Source organism: Homo sapiens, chromosome 15, assembly GCF_000001405.40.
Source record: "Homo sapiens chromosome 15, GRCh38.p14 Primary Assembly".
Taxonomy (NCBI): Eukaryota; Metazoa; Chordata; class Mammalia; order Primates; family Hominidae; genus Homo; species Homo sapiens.
The window spans coordinates 72001247-72020338 of NC_000015.10; the positions used below are offsets into that span (position 1 = coordinate 72001247).

The 19092-nt window shown below is 37.2% G+C and overlaps 1 protein-coding gene and 1 long non-coding RNA gene across 55 annotated transcripts in view; one reads left to right on the top strand and one right to left on the bottom strand.

Moving 5' to 3' along the window:
• Nucleotides 1-19092, bottom strand: part of MYO9A (myosin IXA) — a 296310-nt gene that overhangs the window by 178956 nt on the left and 98262 nt on the right. For 26 of the 50 annotated variants that reach the window (XM_047432576.1, XM_047432578.1, XM_011521615.4 and 23 more), the window contains 3 exons: nucleotides 17793-17849; nucleotides 9104-9201; nucleotides 6580-6706 (listed from right to left, as the gene is read on the bottom strand). In XM_047432576.1, coding sequence (XP_047288532.1) covers nucleotides 6580-6706; nucleotides 9104-9201; nucleotides 17793-17849 — 282 coding nt within the window. The remainder of the gene's footprint in view (nucleotides 1-6579; nucleotides 6707-9103; nucleotides 9202-17792; nucleotides 17850-19092) is intronic. The other 24 variants (XM_047432553.1, XM_047432585.1, XM_047432571.1 and 21 more) reach the window with 1 other exon arrangement.
• The window catches only part of MYO9A-AS1 (MYO9A antisense RNA 1), a 64558-nt gene that overhangs the window by 29040 nt on the left and 16426 nt on the right, over nucleotides 1-19092 (top strand). For 2 of the 5 annotated variants that reach the window (XR_001751798.3, XR_007064702.1), the window contains one exon: nucleotides 4851-4970. The exons of 1 other annotated variant lie outside the window; for it this stretch is intronic. This is a non-coding gene — a long non-coding RNA (MYO9A antisense RNA 1). Of the gene's footprint in view, nucleotides 1-1021; nucleotides 2204-4850; nucleotides 4971-9783; nucleotides 11191-19092 lie in introns of those variants that run through there. 2 more of the 5 variants (XR_007064703.1, XR_007064705.1) reach the window with 2 other exon arrangements.

Sequence of the window (19092 nt, forward strand, 5' to 3'; positions counted from 1 at the left end):
TCAGGTAAAAAATATTAGATTATAACAGCTGTGAGTGGTAGCTCACGACTGTACTCCCAGCACATTAGGAGGCCAAGGTGGGCGGATCACTTGAGGTCAGGAGTTCAAGAACAGCCTGGCCAACATGGGAAATCCTGTCTTGACCAAAAATACAAAAATTAGCCAGATGTGGTGGTGCACACCTGTAATCACAGCTACTCGGGTGGCTGAGGCAGGAGAATCACTTGAAACCGGGAGGCAGAAGTTGCAGTGAGCCGAGACCACACCACTGCACTCCAGCCTAGGAGACAGAGTCAGACTCCATCTCAAAAAAAAAAAAAAAAAAAATAGATTATAAGGAGGAGATTGAGTTATAAAATGATAGGAAGAGGCATTATCCTGCCACCAACAACATATGATAGATCAATAATCTTTTAAAGAACAACTTTTAACCATACTGAATGGATAAATATTATCTAGCAAATATAACACCTTTCAGAGCATTCACTGATCAACTCTCAAATTTCAAAAACTGGAAATAATTTGAGGCATATTAACTTCACAAAAACGCAGTAAAGCCAAAAATCAACAATGAACTTTAAATAAAAGGCCTCAACCTTTTAGATTTATTTAAAATACATTAAAGAACAAAAATATCAGATTACACAAAAATGACAAAACTAACAAAGCTAAGAAAAAAAATGTAATAAAATCCAAAGCTATATTGTGAGGTATATTGCTGCAATTATTAAAAGTAAATATTGGCTGGGTGAGGTGGCTCACACCTATAATCCCAAGGCAGTAGGACTGCTTGAGCTCAGGAGTTAAAGACCAGGTTGGACAACACAGCAAGACCTCCTCTCTACTAAAAATAAAATTTAATGTGCCTGAACTCACAAGTACTCAGGAGGCTGAGGCGGGAAGATTGTTTGAGCCCAGGAGATCAAAGCTACAGTGAGCCATGATCGTGCCACTGCATCCCAGCCTGGAGCTACAGGCACATGCCACCATGACCAGCTAATTTTTTTTTTTTTTTTTTTAGACAGAGTTTTACTTTTGTTACCCAGGCTGGAGTGCAATGGCGCAATCCTGGCTCACCGCAACCTCCGCCTCCCAGGTTCAAGCAATTCTTCTGCCTCAGCCTCCCGAGTAGCTGGGATTAGAGACGGGGTTTCATCATGTTGCCCAGGCGGGTCTTGAACTCCTAAACTCAAACAATCCACCTGCCTTGGCCTCCCAAAGTGCTGGGATTACAGGTGTGGGCCATCGTGCCCAGCCTCATACCATGGACTCTTACACAACAACAAAAAAGAAGAATATAGAATATAGAAATCAGCATTGAAAGATCTCAAAAACATACTATGGAATGACAAAAAGCCAAGTTTCAGAATAATATATACAGTGTAACATTTATATAAAGACCGAAAACATGCAAAACTATGTATTCTTTATAAAAACATCTATCTATACTGAAAATATAGAAACAAGAGTAGGAATGATGAACACCAAATTCACAACAGTGGTTACCTCTGGTGGAGACAGGGTACAAGGGTACACAGTGGGCTTCAATTATACACAATATTTTATTACTTGAGTGGGGCTGTAAGGGTTGATTATATTGTTTTCTATATAATATTGTGTGCTGGCAACATTTCATAACAAGGAAAAAAGGAAGAAAATATCCTAAAACAAATTAATATGTAACAAGTAAAATGTTAGAACTGATCAATCTAAAGTCCAACTCTTTGAAAACATGAAAGATGGCTGGGCACAGTGGCTCATGCCTGTAATCCCAGCACTTTGGGAGACCGAGGCGGGAGGATCACCTTAAGTCAGGAGTTCGAGACCAGCCTGACCAATATGGAGAAACTCCGTCTCTACTAAAAATACAAAATTAGCCGGGTGTGGTGGTGTATGCCTGTAATCCCAGCTACTCGGGAGGCTGAGGCAGGAGAATCGCTTGAACCTGGGAGGCAGAGATTGTGGTGAGCTGAGATCGCACCATTGCACTGTAGCCTGGGCAACAAGAGCAAAATACCGTCTCAAAAAAAAAAAAAAGTAAAAAAAAAATAAAAGACAAATCTCACACAAAGCAAAAGAAAAAAACTAAGAAACACAAATAGCTAATACCATAGAGAAAAATTTTAAAGAGTGAAATTAACAGACTATTTACAAAGAACTCAAAAGCAGGCCGGGCGCGGTGGCCCACGCCTGTAACCCCAGCACTTTGGAAGGCCGAGACGGGCAGATCACAAGGTCAGGAGATCGAGACCATCCTGGCTAACACGGTGAAACCCCGTCTCTACTAAAAATACATAAAAAAAAAAAATTAGCCGGACATGGTGGCAGGCGCCTGTAGTCCCAGCTATTCGGGAAGCTGAGGCAGGAGAATGGCGTGAACCCAGGAAGCGGAGCTTGCAGTGAGCCGAGATTGCGCCACTGCACTCCAGCCTGGGCGACAGAGCGAGACTCCGTCTCAAAAAAAAAAAAAAAAAATAAGAACTCAAAAGCAACAAATTCTAAATATCCAATACATCATTTTTAGAAAAACATAGATCATCCAAATAACTCAAGCCAGATTTGAAAATCCTAAAAAATTAGTTAAAAAGGAACAAATAAAAGACATCAAATACAGTTGCTCATAAGGCTGACCTCTCTCAAACCCTTGAGGAACATATTATTCTCTGCTAATGATCCTTCTAATTGCAGAAAAAGGAGCAAGGGTACAAAAACTCTCAACTCATTTCATGAGTTCTCTTTACCTAGCACAAAAACCTGACAAAGATTGTACATAGATCTACGCATACCCACACAACCCCAAAACATACTAATCTTGCATATCATATTTGGTAAGGATCCTAAATATTACCCAATTCACGATTTTTTAATCAGCTCTTCTATAATTTTCTAAAAATTCTTAAATATATTACTTTTAGAATATTCAAAAACTATTAATACAGAACAAGTAGCAATGGGTTCAATATCCATTCTACAAAGCTTCTCATATTTACCTAATTAAAAATCTGATATGTAATTAAAAATCTATTCTTGGCCGGGCACAGTGGCTCACGCCTGTAATCCCAACACTTTGGGAGGCCAAGGCGGGTGGATCACCTGAGGTCAGGAGTTCAAGACCAGCCTGACAAACATGGTGAAACCCCATCTTTACTAAAAATACAAAATTAGCCGGGCATGGTGGCGCATACCTGTAATCTCAGCTACCTGGGAGGCTGAGGCAGGAGAATGGCTTGGACCCGGGAGGCAGAGGTTGCAGTGAGCCAAGATTGCACCACTGCACTCCAGCCTGGGCAACAACAGCGAAACTCCATCTCAAAAAAACAACAAAAAAAAACCCTATTCTTTATATTGTTTCAACAGATGTTAAAATATACTCAAAATACATAAACCTGATAAAAACTGAACAGTTTTTGGTAATGATGATAGTTCTAATATCTCACAACAAAAACATCTTCCACAATTACCCACAATTTATCAACTGGAGCTTGTTCACCTTTCAATAATTTTCACAAGTATCCATGCCAAATAGGCATTAGTAAAGGCTCAAAACATTCATTATTGCCTCAGGTAACTACAAAAAAATAACTGAAAAGTAAATAAATAAAGTTAAACCACTACTTTAAAAACATTTGTTCCTCTATTCTATATTTAGCATTGGATTAAATCACCATGGGAAGGAGAGGAATTAAATTAAATCACAACTAAAGAGTCTGAATGTTAAATAATCCAGTCAATGTGCTTATCTTTGTACTCTATCTCAACCAAAGCCTTAAGATTGCAATTATTATTATCAGTCTTAACCAACTAGAGGCAATCATTTTCTAAAATAATTTCTAAGTACTAACTAAAGATGGGATAGGTATCTTCTTTAGCTCCTGAACTTTGAAGCTATTTTCTTTCTACTTAATACTAAACCTCAGCCCTAGAACCAATCCAAACTATACACAAGAAGAAATTTAAGAAGCCAGGGTTCAAAAGTAAGATTTTCTGTCAAATCATATTTGCCATTTGCCATTGTCTTTGATACTGGTTTGCCCAATTCTCAGAATTAGATTTCTCTCTTTTTTTTAAACCTATAGCTGAGTTCCTCTTTGAGTTGCCTGAATTGTTCTTATCAGTCTCTTACCAAAGAAGAAATGATGCACTAGAAACAGAAGCCCTGGTTTCTGCTGAACTGCCTAGACTTATAAGTAAGACCATTAGCCACAATGCCCTGTCACAATACCAAATGCTTGACTAAAATATCACCTGAAATACCTGACTAAAATGCCATCTGTTCTCTGGCCTTTATGATCTTCAAAATTACAACCCTCAGATACCACACTCCATCTCCTGGTAGAACTTCTTTCCAGTAAGTCTAGTTCCAATTCAAGGTACTCCCTTCCCCTGCCTCTTCCTCTGCCAGGTTATCATTCCACTGAAGTTAATAAGCAATGCCCAATCACGTACAGAAAAAATAAACGCTGGGTGGTTAGATAAATAAGAAAGAGGTATCTATTGCTCTCAAAGAGCACTGGAGCCTTACAACAGACACAAACTAATAATTAACTTTATGCTCTAAAACTAAATTATGCTACGTAGAAACAAATGCTCTGTATTTAGGGAGTCAGTTTAGACCACTTAAGGTTAAACCACATGAAGTGGCCTATGAACCAAGATTTGGAAGATGAATAATATTTTTTAAAAAAGCAAGTTATTCATAACTGTCAAAAACTGGAAACAACCAAAATGTCCTTCAACAGATAAATGAATAAACTATAGCACATCTATATAATGGAATATTACCCCGTAATAAACAGAAATGAGCTATCAAGTCACAGAAAGACATGAATGAATCTTTTTTTTGTTTCTAGAGACAGGGTCTCGCTCTGTTACCCAGGCTGGAGTGTAGTGGCACGATCTAAGGTCACTGCAACCTCCGCCTCTGGGGTTCAAGCCTCCCACCTCAGCCTACCAAGCAACTGGGACTACAGGTACACGTCACCACGCCCAGCTAATTTTTGTGTTTTTTTTTTGTTGTTGTTGTTGTTGTTTTTAGTAGAGACAGGGTCTCCCTATGTTGCCCAGGCTGGTCTTGAACTCCTAGGGTTCAAGCAACTCACCTGCCTCAGCCTCTCAATGTGCTGGGATTGCAGGCATGAGCCGCCAGACATAAATAAATCTTAAGTGCGTATTACTAAGTAAAACAAATCAGTCTGAAAAATCTACATATTGCATGATTCAATTATATTACATCCTGGAAAGGGCAAATCTATATATCTACTAAAAAGATCAGTGGTTGCCAGCAGTTTAGGGGGAGGGACTGAACAGGTAAAGCACAGGGGATTTTTACGGCAGTGAAACTATTCTGTATGATACTATAATAGTGGACATATGACTTCTTGCATCTGTCAAAAACCAAATAGCATGAAGAGTGGAACTTAATGTATGCAAATATTAAAAATTATTTAAGAGATTGGGGGATTCCACGAAGGAATGTAGACCATGACAAGAAAACAGCATGCATGACAAATATATGAAACCTCAACAAATAGGGTGGAAGGAAAAGGTGCTGTTCTAAGTAATTTTGGAAATGAGTGAAGTCTGCAGGATTAAAGGCAGAAGGAATTGCTCATAAGCACTGTATTCTAGTTGAAAAAGTCATTTCCCAGAGGGGTACAGGTTAACAATTTTGATACCACTATACATGTATACTGGAATTAAACAAATAAGTAAATGGATGGCAGAGGACAGAAGACAGCTTTCTCACTGTTGAAGCGGGAGTTCACAGATAAGCAAGGGAAGAAGGCTAGAATGATCCACGTGGGGAATGGATTACAGTTGGAGACATTATCATGAACTCATGTTTACCTTTATATAGATACAGATGATTACATATTAAAATATGTATAGATACGTGGATATACACAGGTTAGTATATACACACATATATTTCCTTGCTATGCCAGACGATAGGGCCTATAAGAAATGACACCCCATCTGATGGGATAAATCTGGCAAGATGAGAAGGGGTAGGCAAGAGAGAAATTAGCTAAGAAAACATGATAAATCATCACTCCAGGAAGAAAGAATCAGGTAATAAAGGCCCTTGATGTAAGAAGAAGCATGGTAGGAGATGAGAACCTTTATGTCCTATTCAACCCATAAGGGAAAAAAAAAAAAGTAGTATCCTTTTTTCTCCACCCACCCAAATACCCCCATCTTGAAACAAAATAATCTAACCAAAATCTTAGTATGAGAAGAAATCTCAAATATGAAGAGAAAAATTAGCATAGTCCCAGAATATTACAGTCCAGTGTGGAAATATTCATCCTATCCAGCAAATTTAGGGACTATGGATGTCTGGAGCAAGTGGAGGCAGAGGAGAAAACACAAATTTTATAAAGATTCTGCCACATCCAATAGCAAACTGAGGCAGGTATCAGGAAAAATTAGATCTTTTGGAAATGCTATTTAAAAATAGTGCCTAATAAAAGCATTATTAACAGAAAGCATTAACCCGTTTACACCTACAAAATACACAAAATAAAAAATAAAAAGTTACAAAGATTTGAAATGACAACTGAAAATGTAATCACTCACCTCTAATAATTCTGAGACAATAGGCAGAACTTCAGGATTACAGATATCAATGGAGTCATCCCGGTATGTCTTCTTTTTGTAACAGATATTACCCAAATGTAGTATGGCTGAGAGAAGAGAGAAAATCCTGGGAAAATAAAACACAAATTATAGCTTAGTTGTGTCCATTCCCAAAGCTCATTTCATTCTAAAATTCTAGTTAAGCAAATTAACCTACAAATATGAAGTATTTAGTCTTTGGAAAATAAGCAATATGGGAATAATTACTAAAATTTACTGAGGGTTTACTTATATGTCAGGTACTGTTCAAAATGCTTTTCATGGCCTTAAGTATACCACTTCTTATATAGTCATTTCAAAGGGACTTCTGCTATTGCCTGAATTTGTCACAGTGTTTACAGTGTTTTAAAAAGGCCATGCCTCTCTAAATGCTATTTATCCTGCCAGGAATGCTTTTTTCCTACACTGTTTCAGATACACTGAATCAGAATTGCCAAAGGAAAGGCCTTGAATCTGTATTTTTTAAATCAAGTATCCTAGCTGATTTTTTATTATTAGTTATGTTGTTAAAATGCTTTTCTATACCATAGTATGGTGTTTGAGGTAAATGGGTGTGTGTGTGTGTGTGTGTGTGTGTGTGTGTGTGTGTGAATGGGGTAAATGGGTGTGTGTGTGTGTGTATGTGTGTGTGTAAGTATGAAGCCATGTGGGGTATATTAACCTCTACTGTGAAACAACTTCATATGGACCCTCCGTTATAAATTTCCCTCCTGAGTCAGAAGAGTATGTGCCCTCCAATCAAAAACTAATCCCTCCACTTATGCTATATATCCCATCAACTCCTGTTAATTCAGGAACCTTAGGTTACCAAGTACCTCCATGTAGCTAAGAACAGTATATTATGTTATTGACTTATCTGACATCTCAGAGGCATTTAACACAGCTAAACAATCCACTGAAAAACTCTTCCTCAGTCTCCTTATATATATACAGCTTTGTGTCACATGCAGTTATTTTCTTAGAATAAATACGGCTTACAAAATTTGGCTTATGAAAATTTAACACTATGTTTTCCTAAAATTAGGAAGTATTCCAACTAAAACAAAGATATTGCTTTAGGAACCTGAGATATTACCTTAGGAACATTTGAGAGGTACTGAATCACCATCTAACTTATAAATCTAATTTTTCAAATAATTTAAAGTTTTTAAATCTTTGAATCATTCACGTGACTCACAGGAAATACAAGTCTATTATAAAAATAATTAATAATGTTATTCTGGATTAAAGAATAAACTATCAACTGAAACATAAAAACTAATGGAAGTCAAAAGACAAAAACAAATTCATGAGCCTCTTTTAAAAATGATTTTTAATAGAAATTCACTAATTTTCATTGAACTGTAGTTTATGTCACCAATTGAGTTGGTATGCCAACTTACATATTGTATTATTTGATTTTAATTGACTTCTCATAAAAAGATTCTAGTAAATAGCCTGCTAATTAAAGAGTCATACCAATGATGTAAGTGCAAGCAAACAAGAAAACAGGAGAGGTGATTTTCTCCTACTCTCAGTATAGGGTCATCAATCATGAGGTTAAAAATTAACAACAGAGGGCGGGCGCAGTGGCTCATGCTGGTAATCCTAGCACTTTCAGAGGTCAAGAAAGGCAGATCACTTGAGCCTAGGAATTCAAGACCAGCATAGGCAACATGGCAAAAAAAAAAAATACAAAATTAGCTGAGTGTGATGGTACAAGCCTGCAGTCCCAACTTCTTGGGAAGTTGAGGTGGGAGGATCATCTGAGCCTGGGGAGGTTGAGGCTGCAGTGAGCACTCCAGTCTGGGTGACAGAGTGAGATGCTGTCTCCAAAAAAAACAAAGAAAAAAAAATTAACAATATAATCAGATCTGACATATTCATCAGCACGACTCTCCCCTTCAAAAAAGTTATAAGTAACTATTTCTTTCTGGTGAGAGCCAAGGTTGAGTCTTTAATTTTAAATAATTTGTTTCAAATATAATTTATCTCATCTTTATCTCAAATTTTTATATTTTTAAATTGTTTAGATTTACAATTAAAAAACTTAATAGTATAGTACAGATATAAACTATACAGAGGAAATACACTGAAAATTAAATACTATGCATCTGATAAGTATGCATAATTTAATAAGATTAGAGATCACTGATATATACAAAATGAAGAGCTATAAAAATAGTGTTACAAAGCAAAAGTTTTAAGTAAGGTCCATGGATAGGCTTCAGGGGCACCATAAATTCCTGCATTTATATGCAAATTGTTAAGGATGTACATTTTACAACAACAGTGTCAGCTTTCATCAGATTCTCAAAATAATTTATGATAAAAAAAGGAATTAGAAATAATGCTCGAGATGGATGAGGTACTAGATGAAGAATACCACTTAGAAAACTATTTAAAAAGGTCAACGGCAGAAATCTTTCAAAGACATATCATGTGTTCTCTATTAGAGATATAAAAATACAACAAGTAAACTCACTGTCTTCGTGTCTTGGGAAGAAATCCTACCATTTCCATGGCAAGTTGTAGGCGCTCAAAGTCATGTCTCAAATCTTCTCCTTCCACCGTGAAGCAATCCTGCTTATTTAAAATAAAAGTTTAAAAATCAAGATTATATATTTTAAAATAATGTGGGCCATTCAGAAATATGGTAATTTAGGATAGGTACCTGTATGTATAAATGCAAATTAGAGCTGGTAGAATAGTAAGACCTAGTCAAATTCATTAGACCTCTTATCTTACTACAGGTATGGAAACTAAACACATACTTACTAAAATACCAATAAGTTACTTTTGTTCTCCCTTTCACAATCACCAAGATTAGGATTTCAAAAGTTAACTTAAGATAAAGAGTTAGCTGTACTCAGTAAGTGTGCTGATACTAAGTTTGATTTTGAGTGGTTCTAAAGGGTTTCAGAAATTCAAAGCATTTACGGGCGCTCAATTCTACCAGCAAATACTATTTATTCAACAAATATTTAACAAGTGCCTACCCTATGTAAGGCACTGAACTAGATATTAGTGACACAAAAATAAATTTTAGAAGAGGCAATAATTTAGTTGAAGAGTGAACCCCAGATTTACGTAATATAGTTTGTTACATCTATCTAATCTATATTTATATAGATCTATATAGATATGTTATTTTTTTTTTTTAAGACAGGGTCTCATTCCTGTTGCTCAGGCTGGAGTACAGTGGCATGATCTTGGCTCACTGCAGCTTCGACCTCCCGGGCTCAGGTGATTCTCCCACCTCAGCCTCCCAAGCAACTGGAACTACCCAGCTAGTCCTACCATGACCGGTTAGTTTTTTGTATTTTTAATAGAGACATGGTTTCACCACATTGCCCAGGCTAGTCCTGAACTCCCGGACTCAAGCAGTCCACCCACCTAGGCCTCCTAAAGTGCTAGAATTACAGGCGTGAGCCACTGTGCCCAGCCTGTTACATCTACATTAGATATATACATATATAATTATTTATATATTTTATATATGTAATTATTTCCTAATGAAATAACAGACAACATGGTAATCAAACAAGGAAAGAAAGAAGTATATGTGAAAGTATAAAAACCCTCAGAAAACACATCAGATGAGTCAGTAAAACTAGTTGTGAATAGTCACACATGCCTGTAATCCCAGCTACTTGGAAGGCTGAGGTAGGAGGATTGCTTGAGCTCAGGAGTTTGAGACCAGCCTGGGCAACACGCATGACACCATCTCAAGAAAAAAAAAATTGTTGTGGAATACCAGATTAATAAATACTACTTTTTAAGCATAATCCTTGCATTTCAGTTCCTAAAATAGTCAAACAGTGGTAGACATACTCTAAATCTTCAAAACAATAAGTGAGTCATAAATCTCTTTACTGTAAGTTCTCACAGTCCCTTGCACTTTCAAAAACCTCCTCACATTTGCATTTACATTTTTAATGCCTATCTTCCTAGGGAATATTCTCTCAAGTACTTGGTGAAGTATATGAACTGTTAATTGTCTTATTAACTGCAGATCCCCAGTGCGAAGTCAGTGCCAAAAACAAGTCATTATTTAGGTAAATACATAGTCATTGAATTATTGAATAATATATAAATATTGAATTGAATGAAACATTCCTTTTTCAGAAATAAAGTGCTCATTTGTTTTATAAAAAGTATTTATCAAGTATTTACCATGTACAAGAAAATCTGTTTTAGGCACTGTAAGCATTAGTTAATGAATATCTAAAGTTTAAAATAAAGTTTTGAAATGCTGTTACCAATATTTTTATTCTCTACATGGAAAGCTACACATGCATAGTTTAAAAATTTAAATTCACCACAAGTAAAGTTCTTTCTGAGAACCCATGCATTTAATTTTATTACTATAAAATTGCTTTCGATAAGCAATTTTAAGACATTCTACTGACATGCCAATGTCCTACTCATTAAAATAATTTTTTTTTGAGATGGAGTGTCGCACTTGTTGCCCAGCTGCTGTGCAATGACGCGATGTCTGCTCAGTGCAACCTCTGCCTCCCGGGTTCAAGCAATTCCCCTGCCTCAGCTTCTCAAGCAGCTGGGATTACAGGTGCGTGCCACCATGCCAGGCTAATTTTCCTATATTTTTTAGTAGAGACGGGGTTTTACCACATTGGCCAGGCTGGTCTCAAACTCCTGACCTCAGGTGATCCACCCGCCTCAGCCTCCCAAAGTGCTGGGATTACAGGAGTAAGCCACCGTACCCAGCCCTAAGATAAATTTTTAAACACATTCTTCTTTTACCTATAGTAAGTAACCTTTTGTAAAAAGCTCTCTTGCTACTCTTCCCCCTAGTCTCAAAACACAAACAGTTCATTCACTTTATGATTTAACAAATATTTTCCTATTACAAGTGGCAAGGCAGGGGGAATCTATGCTTCCACATGTGTCAATAATGATTCTTCTAACTAACAGTGTTCTAATCTTCCCCGAAAGTGAATGGAACAATTAATGTATATAAAATAGTGGGAAAGTACACTGAAAGAGGCACTAAAATATGTTTGTATTTGCTCTTATCCTTAATCAAATGTTCTTAGAAACCCAAAGTGGTCTCAGTGAATATCAAAATCATAGTTTAAAAAAAATGTGTATTAATTTCCTTCTCTGTTTCTCTGATGATAACTGTAGAAGAAAAACTAAGGATAAATTAAATCTCCCAGAACAGAAATGACTTTATCTTAATTTGGGCTCCCTGGGAGGCAGATCTTGAGACAGACCAAGAGTCAAATACAAGTCACAGAGAAAGTGAGAAAGTAAAAGAGAAGACAGACTAAACAGTCTGTGCTAACTACTATGAAAGTAGTTAAATGGAGTTTAATCCCAAGGTTATCTCTGGGAAACAATATAAAACCTACAGAGGTGAGGGAGCTACTGTATTTATTTATATACCATCTCATCTCTCATCAGTCATTGTTTGAAGACTTCTGGAGAGGGAGCAGGCAGCTGTTAATTCCCAAGTCACTTCTAGAGGGCCCTACAAATGCCAAGGCCTTCCAGGGTTCTGGAAAAAGCCTTCAGGCCCCAGGATCCAAATACTGGTCAGCCAGAGTTCAAGGAAATGGTAAGGTTCGTTCCAAGGATAAGGCAGGGAACTAACCAACAACTGTTACAACCCCTTCCACTGAAAGAACATAGGCAATCCTTCTGTCAGCTCCATATAAGTTCTTGTTTGTACTTGATAACATGCCACTACATTCCCCCCACAAACATACCCACCAAATGCTCTTTCATGCTATCAGACCTTGCTCTTTCTGTAAGGTGACACACTTTCCCATTTACAAATGCCTAGGATAAACCTAGCATGGAGTAGGCAATTAGTGTGGGTGTGAGGGAGAGAAAGAGAAGAGTCAAATTAGATATTTTCTTCTATCTTGTCTCTATTTCTTAAAATTGTACTTAAGAAATCATACTATCTTGTCTCTTTTTCTTTTTTCTTTGAGATGGAGTCTCACTCTGTTGCCGAGGTTGGAGTGCAGTGGCACAATCCCAGCTCACTGCAACCTCCGCCTCCTGGGCTCAAGTGGTCCACCTCACCCTCTTGAGGAATAGCTGGGACTACAGGCCTACACCACAGCATCCATCTGATTTTTATATTTTTTTGGAGGGACAGTGTTTTGCCATGTTGCCCAGGCTGGTCTTAAACTCTTGGGCTCAAGTGATCTGCCTAGCTCAGCCTTGCAAAGTGCTGGGATTACAAGCATGAGACACTGTCCAGTTCCATATTATATTTGATCCTTATAAAACCTCTGGTGGTAGTTATGATTGCCTTTCACACAAGCAGCAAGCAGCATTGGCTCACAATTTAAGCCAATTGCTCCTATGGTGGTGAAGCTTGTTAATAGTGTAGCTGGGATTCCAACCAAGCCTATGTTATTTATCTCCTTTTTTCTTAAGTGATCTCCAGCATCTTTACTAACCTTCAAAGTCAATTGTTCCAGTTTATGTCCTGCACTCTACACTAGTAGTTATAAAAATGTATGATTTCTTAAGTACCATTTTAAGAAATAGAGACAAGTGGCCAGGCACGGTGGCTCATGCCTATAATCCCAGCACTTTGGGAGGCTGAGGCATGCAGATCACCTGAGGTCAGGAGTTCAAGACCAGCCTGGCCAACATGGTGAAAACCTATCTCTACTAAAAATACAAAAATTAGCCAGGCGTGGTGCCGGGCACCTGTAATCCCAGCTACTCAGGAGGCTGAGGCAGAAGAATCGCTTGAACCCAGAAGGTGGGAGTTGCAGTGAGCTGATATGGTGCCACTGTGCTCCAGCCTAGGTGACAGAGCGAGATACCATGAAAGAAAGAAAAGAAAGAAAAGGAAAAGAAAAGAAAAGAAGAGAAGAGAGAGAGAGAGAAAGAAAGGAAAGAAAGAAAGAAAGAAAGAGAAAGAAAGAAAAGAAAGAAGGAAGGAAACAAAGAAAGAAAAGAAAAGAGAAGAAAAGAGGATGTTAAGTGCTTTTTTTAAATTTTTTTGAGACAGGGTTTCACTCTGCCCACCCACGCTGGAGTGCACTGGTGCAATCTTGGCTCACTGCAACCTCTGCCTCCTGGGATCAAGTGATTCTCTCACCTCAGCCTCCTGAGTAGCTGGGACTACAGGCACGTATCACCACGCCCTGCTAATTTTTTTTTTTTTTTTTTGGTAGAGACAGGGTTTCACTATGTTGGCCAGGCTGGTCTCGAACTCCTGACCTCAAGTGATCCACCCACTTCCCAAAGTGCTGGGATTACAAGCGTGACCCACCGCACCTGGCCAGATGTGAAGTGCTTTTTAAACAGAAAAATATATGCAGAGAAAGTTGTGGAGTATGCAGAGACCTTATACTAGACCGGCAGAGGGTAAGGAATAAAGCCAGAAAGACATGTTTAAGGGCGTGACCACAAACTTACAAACTGACAGATGGGTTTTGGCAGTAGGAATCTTTATACTGCAAAAATACTTAAAACAGAGTAGATGAAAACATTATGGTTTCAGGGTATCTTGCCCAAGTTGCATCATGATCTCTGAAAGCACTATAGGAGGTCTACCTCATAGGAAACGAGCTTCCACAGATTTATAGATGTTTGGATTCCTGTAAAGGTAGTAGTGACCAAAGTTGGAGCTTTGTCTCCACAGAATAATACAGGTCAAATCCCTTTGCAGCATGGTGGAACCAACAGTGTCCTGAGACTATCACTTATGGCAATGACCATTAAAACCCTACCTAATAGTTGGACCCTAAAATTCATGGCTCAGATAAATAAAAGAGTTTGGTGAGGCTGACCGACCCTTTACATTGAAGTTACTCAGATCAGGTTTTTTTTTTTTTTTTTTTTTTGAGACAGAGTCTCGCTCTGTCGCCCAGGATGGAGTGCAGTGGCGTGATCTCGGCTCACTGCAAACTCTGCCTCCCGGGTTCAGGCCATTCTCCTGCCTCAGCCTCCTGAGTAGCTGGGACTACAGGCGCCCGCCACCACATCCAGCTAATTTTTTGTATTTTTTAGTAGAGACGGGGTTTCACCGTGTTAGCCAGGATGGTCTCAATCTCCTGACCTCGTGATCCGCCCACCTCAGCCTCCCAAAGTGCTGGGATTACAGGTGTGAGCCACTGCGCCCAGCCTCAGATCAGCTTTAAGGTACAATGGCAGACATCAGCCAACATATTACCAGTATTTAATTCATTCTCCATATTTTATAACTGAGGAAACAAAGGCTGAGATGTTAATAATAATAAAAATAAAAAGACATTTAATAGATTATTACCACTTGAAGAGGGGAAATTAACATTTATTAAATATTCTTCTACATGTCAGTCACCATGAGTTACTAAAACCTCAGAACACAAGGAGATACTTATATATACATTTACGGAAGAGAAAATAGATTCACAGGTTAAATAACTTGCCAAAGCTTAAAAAAAAAAATCTTATAAATAACAGGGCTGGCCAATCCAAAATCTATGTAGTTCCAAATCCTCTGCTCTCTCCCATGCAACACTGCTGTTTGTGCTTATTTAATAGGATAACCCTTAAATGGAACTAAATCACCACACAAGGGCAACAACAGGTACCTTGTAAAAAGCAATTTTCTAACTATAGGTCTCCTTGGGACCATTTATACAATTCCACGAAATACATAAGTAATGTAGTACAACAGAAGAGTCCTCAAACAATCCTCTCTACCTATGATGCTAGTCACATAAGTTCTAATAACTCACAGGGAAACAAAGTTTAGTTTGTCCCCAAATATATTATGAGGAAGAGCTAACAGGAAAGAATAAAAGATCCTCAGACTGCTTGCTTTTATTAATTAACATAAGAAAAACAATCAGAAATTAAATTTCAAACTATAATAGATTTTAAGACACAATAAACGGATAATGGTGATGAAAGTATGATTAAGGGAAGAGGAGATTATGGCTACAAAGTTCTTCTAAAGGGAAAGATGGGTAATGATGACTTCAATGGTGGCAACAACATTCACTATGCACTTACTAAGGATTATGTACTCTATCAAGTTCTTTACATGCACAACTTTAAGACTCACAAAACTTAAAGACCATTATTAACCCCTAAAATAAATGAAACTGGAAAATAAGCCAGCCAATATTTATGTTAGGTCATTCTGCTTCAGAGCCCAAATCTTTTTTTTTTTTTTTTTTTTTTTTTTTTGAAATAGAGTCTTGCTGTGTCACCCACGCTGGAGTGTAATGGTGTGATCTTGTCTCGCTGTAGCCTCAACCTCCTGGGCTCAAGCAATCTGCCTGCCTCAGCCTCCTGAGTAGCTGGAACTACAGGCGTGTATCACTATACCTGGCTTAAATTTTTGTAGAGATAGGGTATTGCCTTGTTGCTCAAGCTAGTCTCAAACTCCCAGTCTCAAGCAATTCTCCCACCTCAGCTTCCAGAAGTGTTGAATTACAGGCGTGAGCCACTACTCTCGGCCCCCAAATTCTTAAGTATTACTTAGACTATCTCTGAAAAGTAGCAGATCAGTTCACAACTTCACTGTAAGCTCAGAACAGATGATCAAGTCTTCTATTTGCAGTATGTGTTTGCAGTCCCCTACCTGCTTTCCAAGGAGGCATGGTCACTTGGTGTAGTACGTGAAAAAGGAAAAGGGGGAGCTTCTTAAGAATGGCAAAAACAACTTAAATTTTTTGTTAAAATGTATCAGAATCTATAAATTTATATGTCAAGTGTTTTTTTCCCCAAAATGTTAAATCTAAACTCCAAAATTACTTGGTTATGTAATAGTAATACAATTAAAATTTCTCTAAAAAAAATTATTATTCATGTATACTGATCATTCTCACCTGTGAAATAAGCTAGTCATGCAATTAGTAAAGTTTATAAACATGCTGTGAGAATCACAGTTGTGGTTCTTTAAAGCAAGGACTAAGAAATGTTTTCAGAAAGAATATTTAATAAATTAATTCATTAATTAATAGACATAGGAAGATTAGTATGTGTTTTCAGCCTTTTTACAAGTAACTTAATTGAAAACTTAAGAAAAAAATTTTTGTGTTCTTTATGGTTACAAACTTGTCATAAAATATAACAAATAAAGCTAAATTTAGCGGGGCATGGTGGCTCATGCCTATAATCCCAGCACTTTGACAGGCCAAGGCAAGAGAATCACTTGAGGTCAGAGGTTCAAGACCAGCCTGGACAACATAGTGAGACTCTGTCTTTAATTTAAAAATATACTTATTAAAATACAGTAATATAATTTTTAAAAAATTAAAGCAAAATGTACCTATTCACTTTATATTACATCATACATCCCCTTAAATCACTCAATTTACAACATAAAATAGGCTGGGCATAGTGGCTCATATCTGTAATCCCAGCACTTTGGGAGGCCAAGGTGGGCAGATCACTTGAGGCCATGAGTTCAAGACCAGCCTGGACAATATGGCAAAACCCCATCTCTACTAAAAATAGAAAAATCAACCGGGCATGGTGGCGCACGCCTGTAATCCCAGCTACTTGGGAGGCTGAGGCATGAGAATCGCTAGAACCCAGGAGATGGAGGTTGCAGGGAGCCAAGATCATGTCACTGTACTCCAGTAAAAGAGCGAGACTCTGTCACAAAAAATAAATATTTAAAAAAAACCTTATTTATAGGAATTTCAATACTTATTTTTGGATAATTTTATTAAGGCTACAGACTCTGGCTACTGGGAAAAAAAATCAAAGAAAAATATACATGCATTCATTATGTGTAAAGACTGTTGATATATAAAACATAAAGAATGCAATTTTTTGAAATAAACAATAATTACTACTCATAGTATGTAGGTAATGAAACTACTAAAAAATAATTTTAAAAAATAAAAGGGGAAAAAAACCATAGTTCATACAAATCCACAGCAATGATGAAGAATCAGGAATATAATCAATTTAATGTTTGTCGAAATAAATATTGAATGTGGACTAAGTCTTAATGACCAGAAAATAGCCCAAAAAAAGTAAATTAACTGGTTTTAAATCAACAAACTATACAGATATAAATCAATCATTCAAAAGAAATGAAACATTGATTTATCTTCCTTCCTAGGATTCTTTGTATTTCAGCTGATTTGCATTCTAAATCTTCAGATGGATGCAAATGCGCAATGTGAGGACCCTTTGACAGAAACACAGAATATTTAGGTACTTGTACTGACCGGCTCAGAGTCATAGCAATAATCATCCCAGCTCTGTCTGAGGGGTTTCTTTGTTATCTGAAAGTAAGGCAGATTAGTTAGGTAGAAGTAATGGTTATTATACTCTTCTAATGATCTCTTAGATGTGGTGTGCAAGTAGTACTGCTGCTCTCCATTGAAAAGTTATTTTGCATAGCAGCATAAAACAAGAAATAATGAAGCAAATATTCACATGCTGGGAGACTGTATACTGTACTACCGAACGCATATATACCATGGGCTCCAGTGACTGTTATTTATATAAACTGAGTCCCATATCCTATGAATATTGACATTATGACAGGAATATATTATGGTCATTAATTACAAAAAGATCTGAAAGAACAGCAAAATTCCAGACTTCTCTAATACTAACAACTATCAGCTCATTTATGAGAGAATATTACTTTATAAAAAAGAAAATCTTTAATCACCCAAATATAATGCAAATAGTTTAAACTGGGGAGGAAAAAACTCAGAAGCTGAATTAGCAAATATTTTTGAAAAGCTATTTAATTCTATGTGTAAAAATTAATAATATTATATCAGAAATGGATACTTTAAATAACTTGGAATTCTCAATATATTAATACAAAGTCATTAGTTTATATTAATATAGGTAGTTTCAAAATTAAGAAATAACAGTTAATACAACACACTGTATTAACTTGGAGAAAGCCAAAGGTATAACTTTCTTTTTTTCTTTTTTTTGAGACGGAGTCTCGCTCTGTTGCCCAGGCTGGAGTGCGGTGGCACAATCTTGGCTCACTGCAACCTCTGCCTCCCGGGTTGAAGCGATTCTCGTGCCTCGGCCTCCCAAGCAGCTGAGATTACAGGCGTGCCTCACCACACCTAGCTAATTTTTTTGTGTTTTTAGCAGAGACAAGGTTTCACGATGTTGGCCAGGCTGGTCTCGAACTCCTGACCTCAGGTGATTCAACTGCCTCAGCTTACCAAAGTACTGGGATTACAGGTGTGAGCCACTGCACTCAGCCAAAGATGTAACTTTCATAACCCTAAATATATACTGCTATCTGAACCATCATCAAAGTGTCAATTTGTTTACAAAAGCTTCGTAAGGATTTTTTTAATGGTCATAAAGGGATTTATTTCCGTAGACATTACATCTTGCCTCCAACAATGGAAAAATAAGGGGAGACATCTATTATTTAAATGACCTATTGTTTTACTAATTCCATTAGTGCTGGTTGTAAAATTTCTGTTATTATGAGAAATAATAAAATTAGTAAAGTCAATGTAATGAAAAGTAAGAATTACTCCT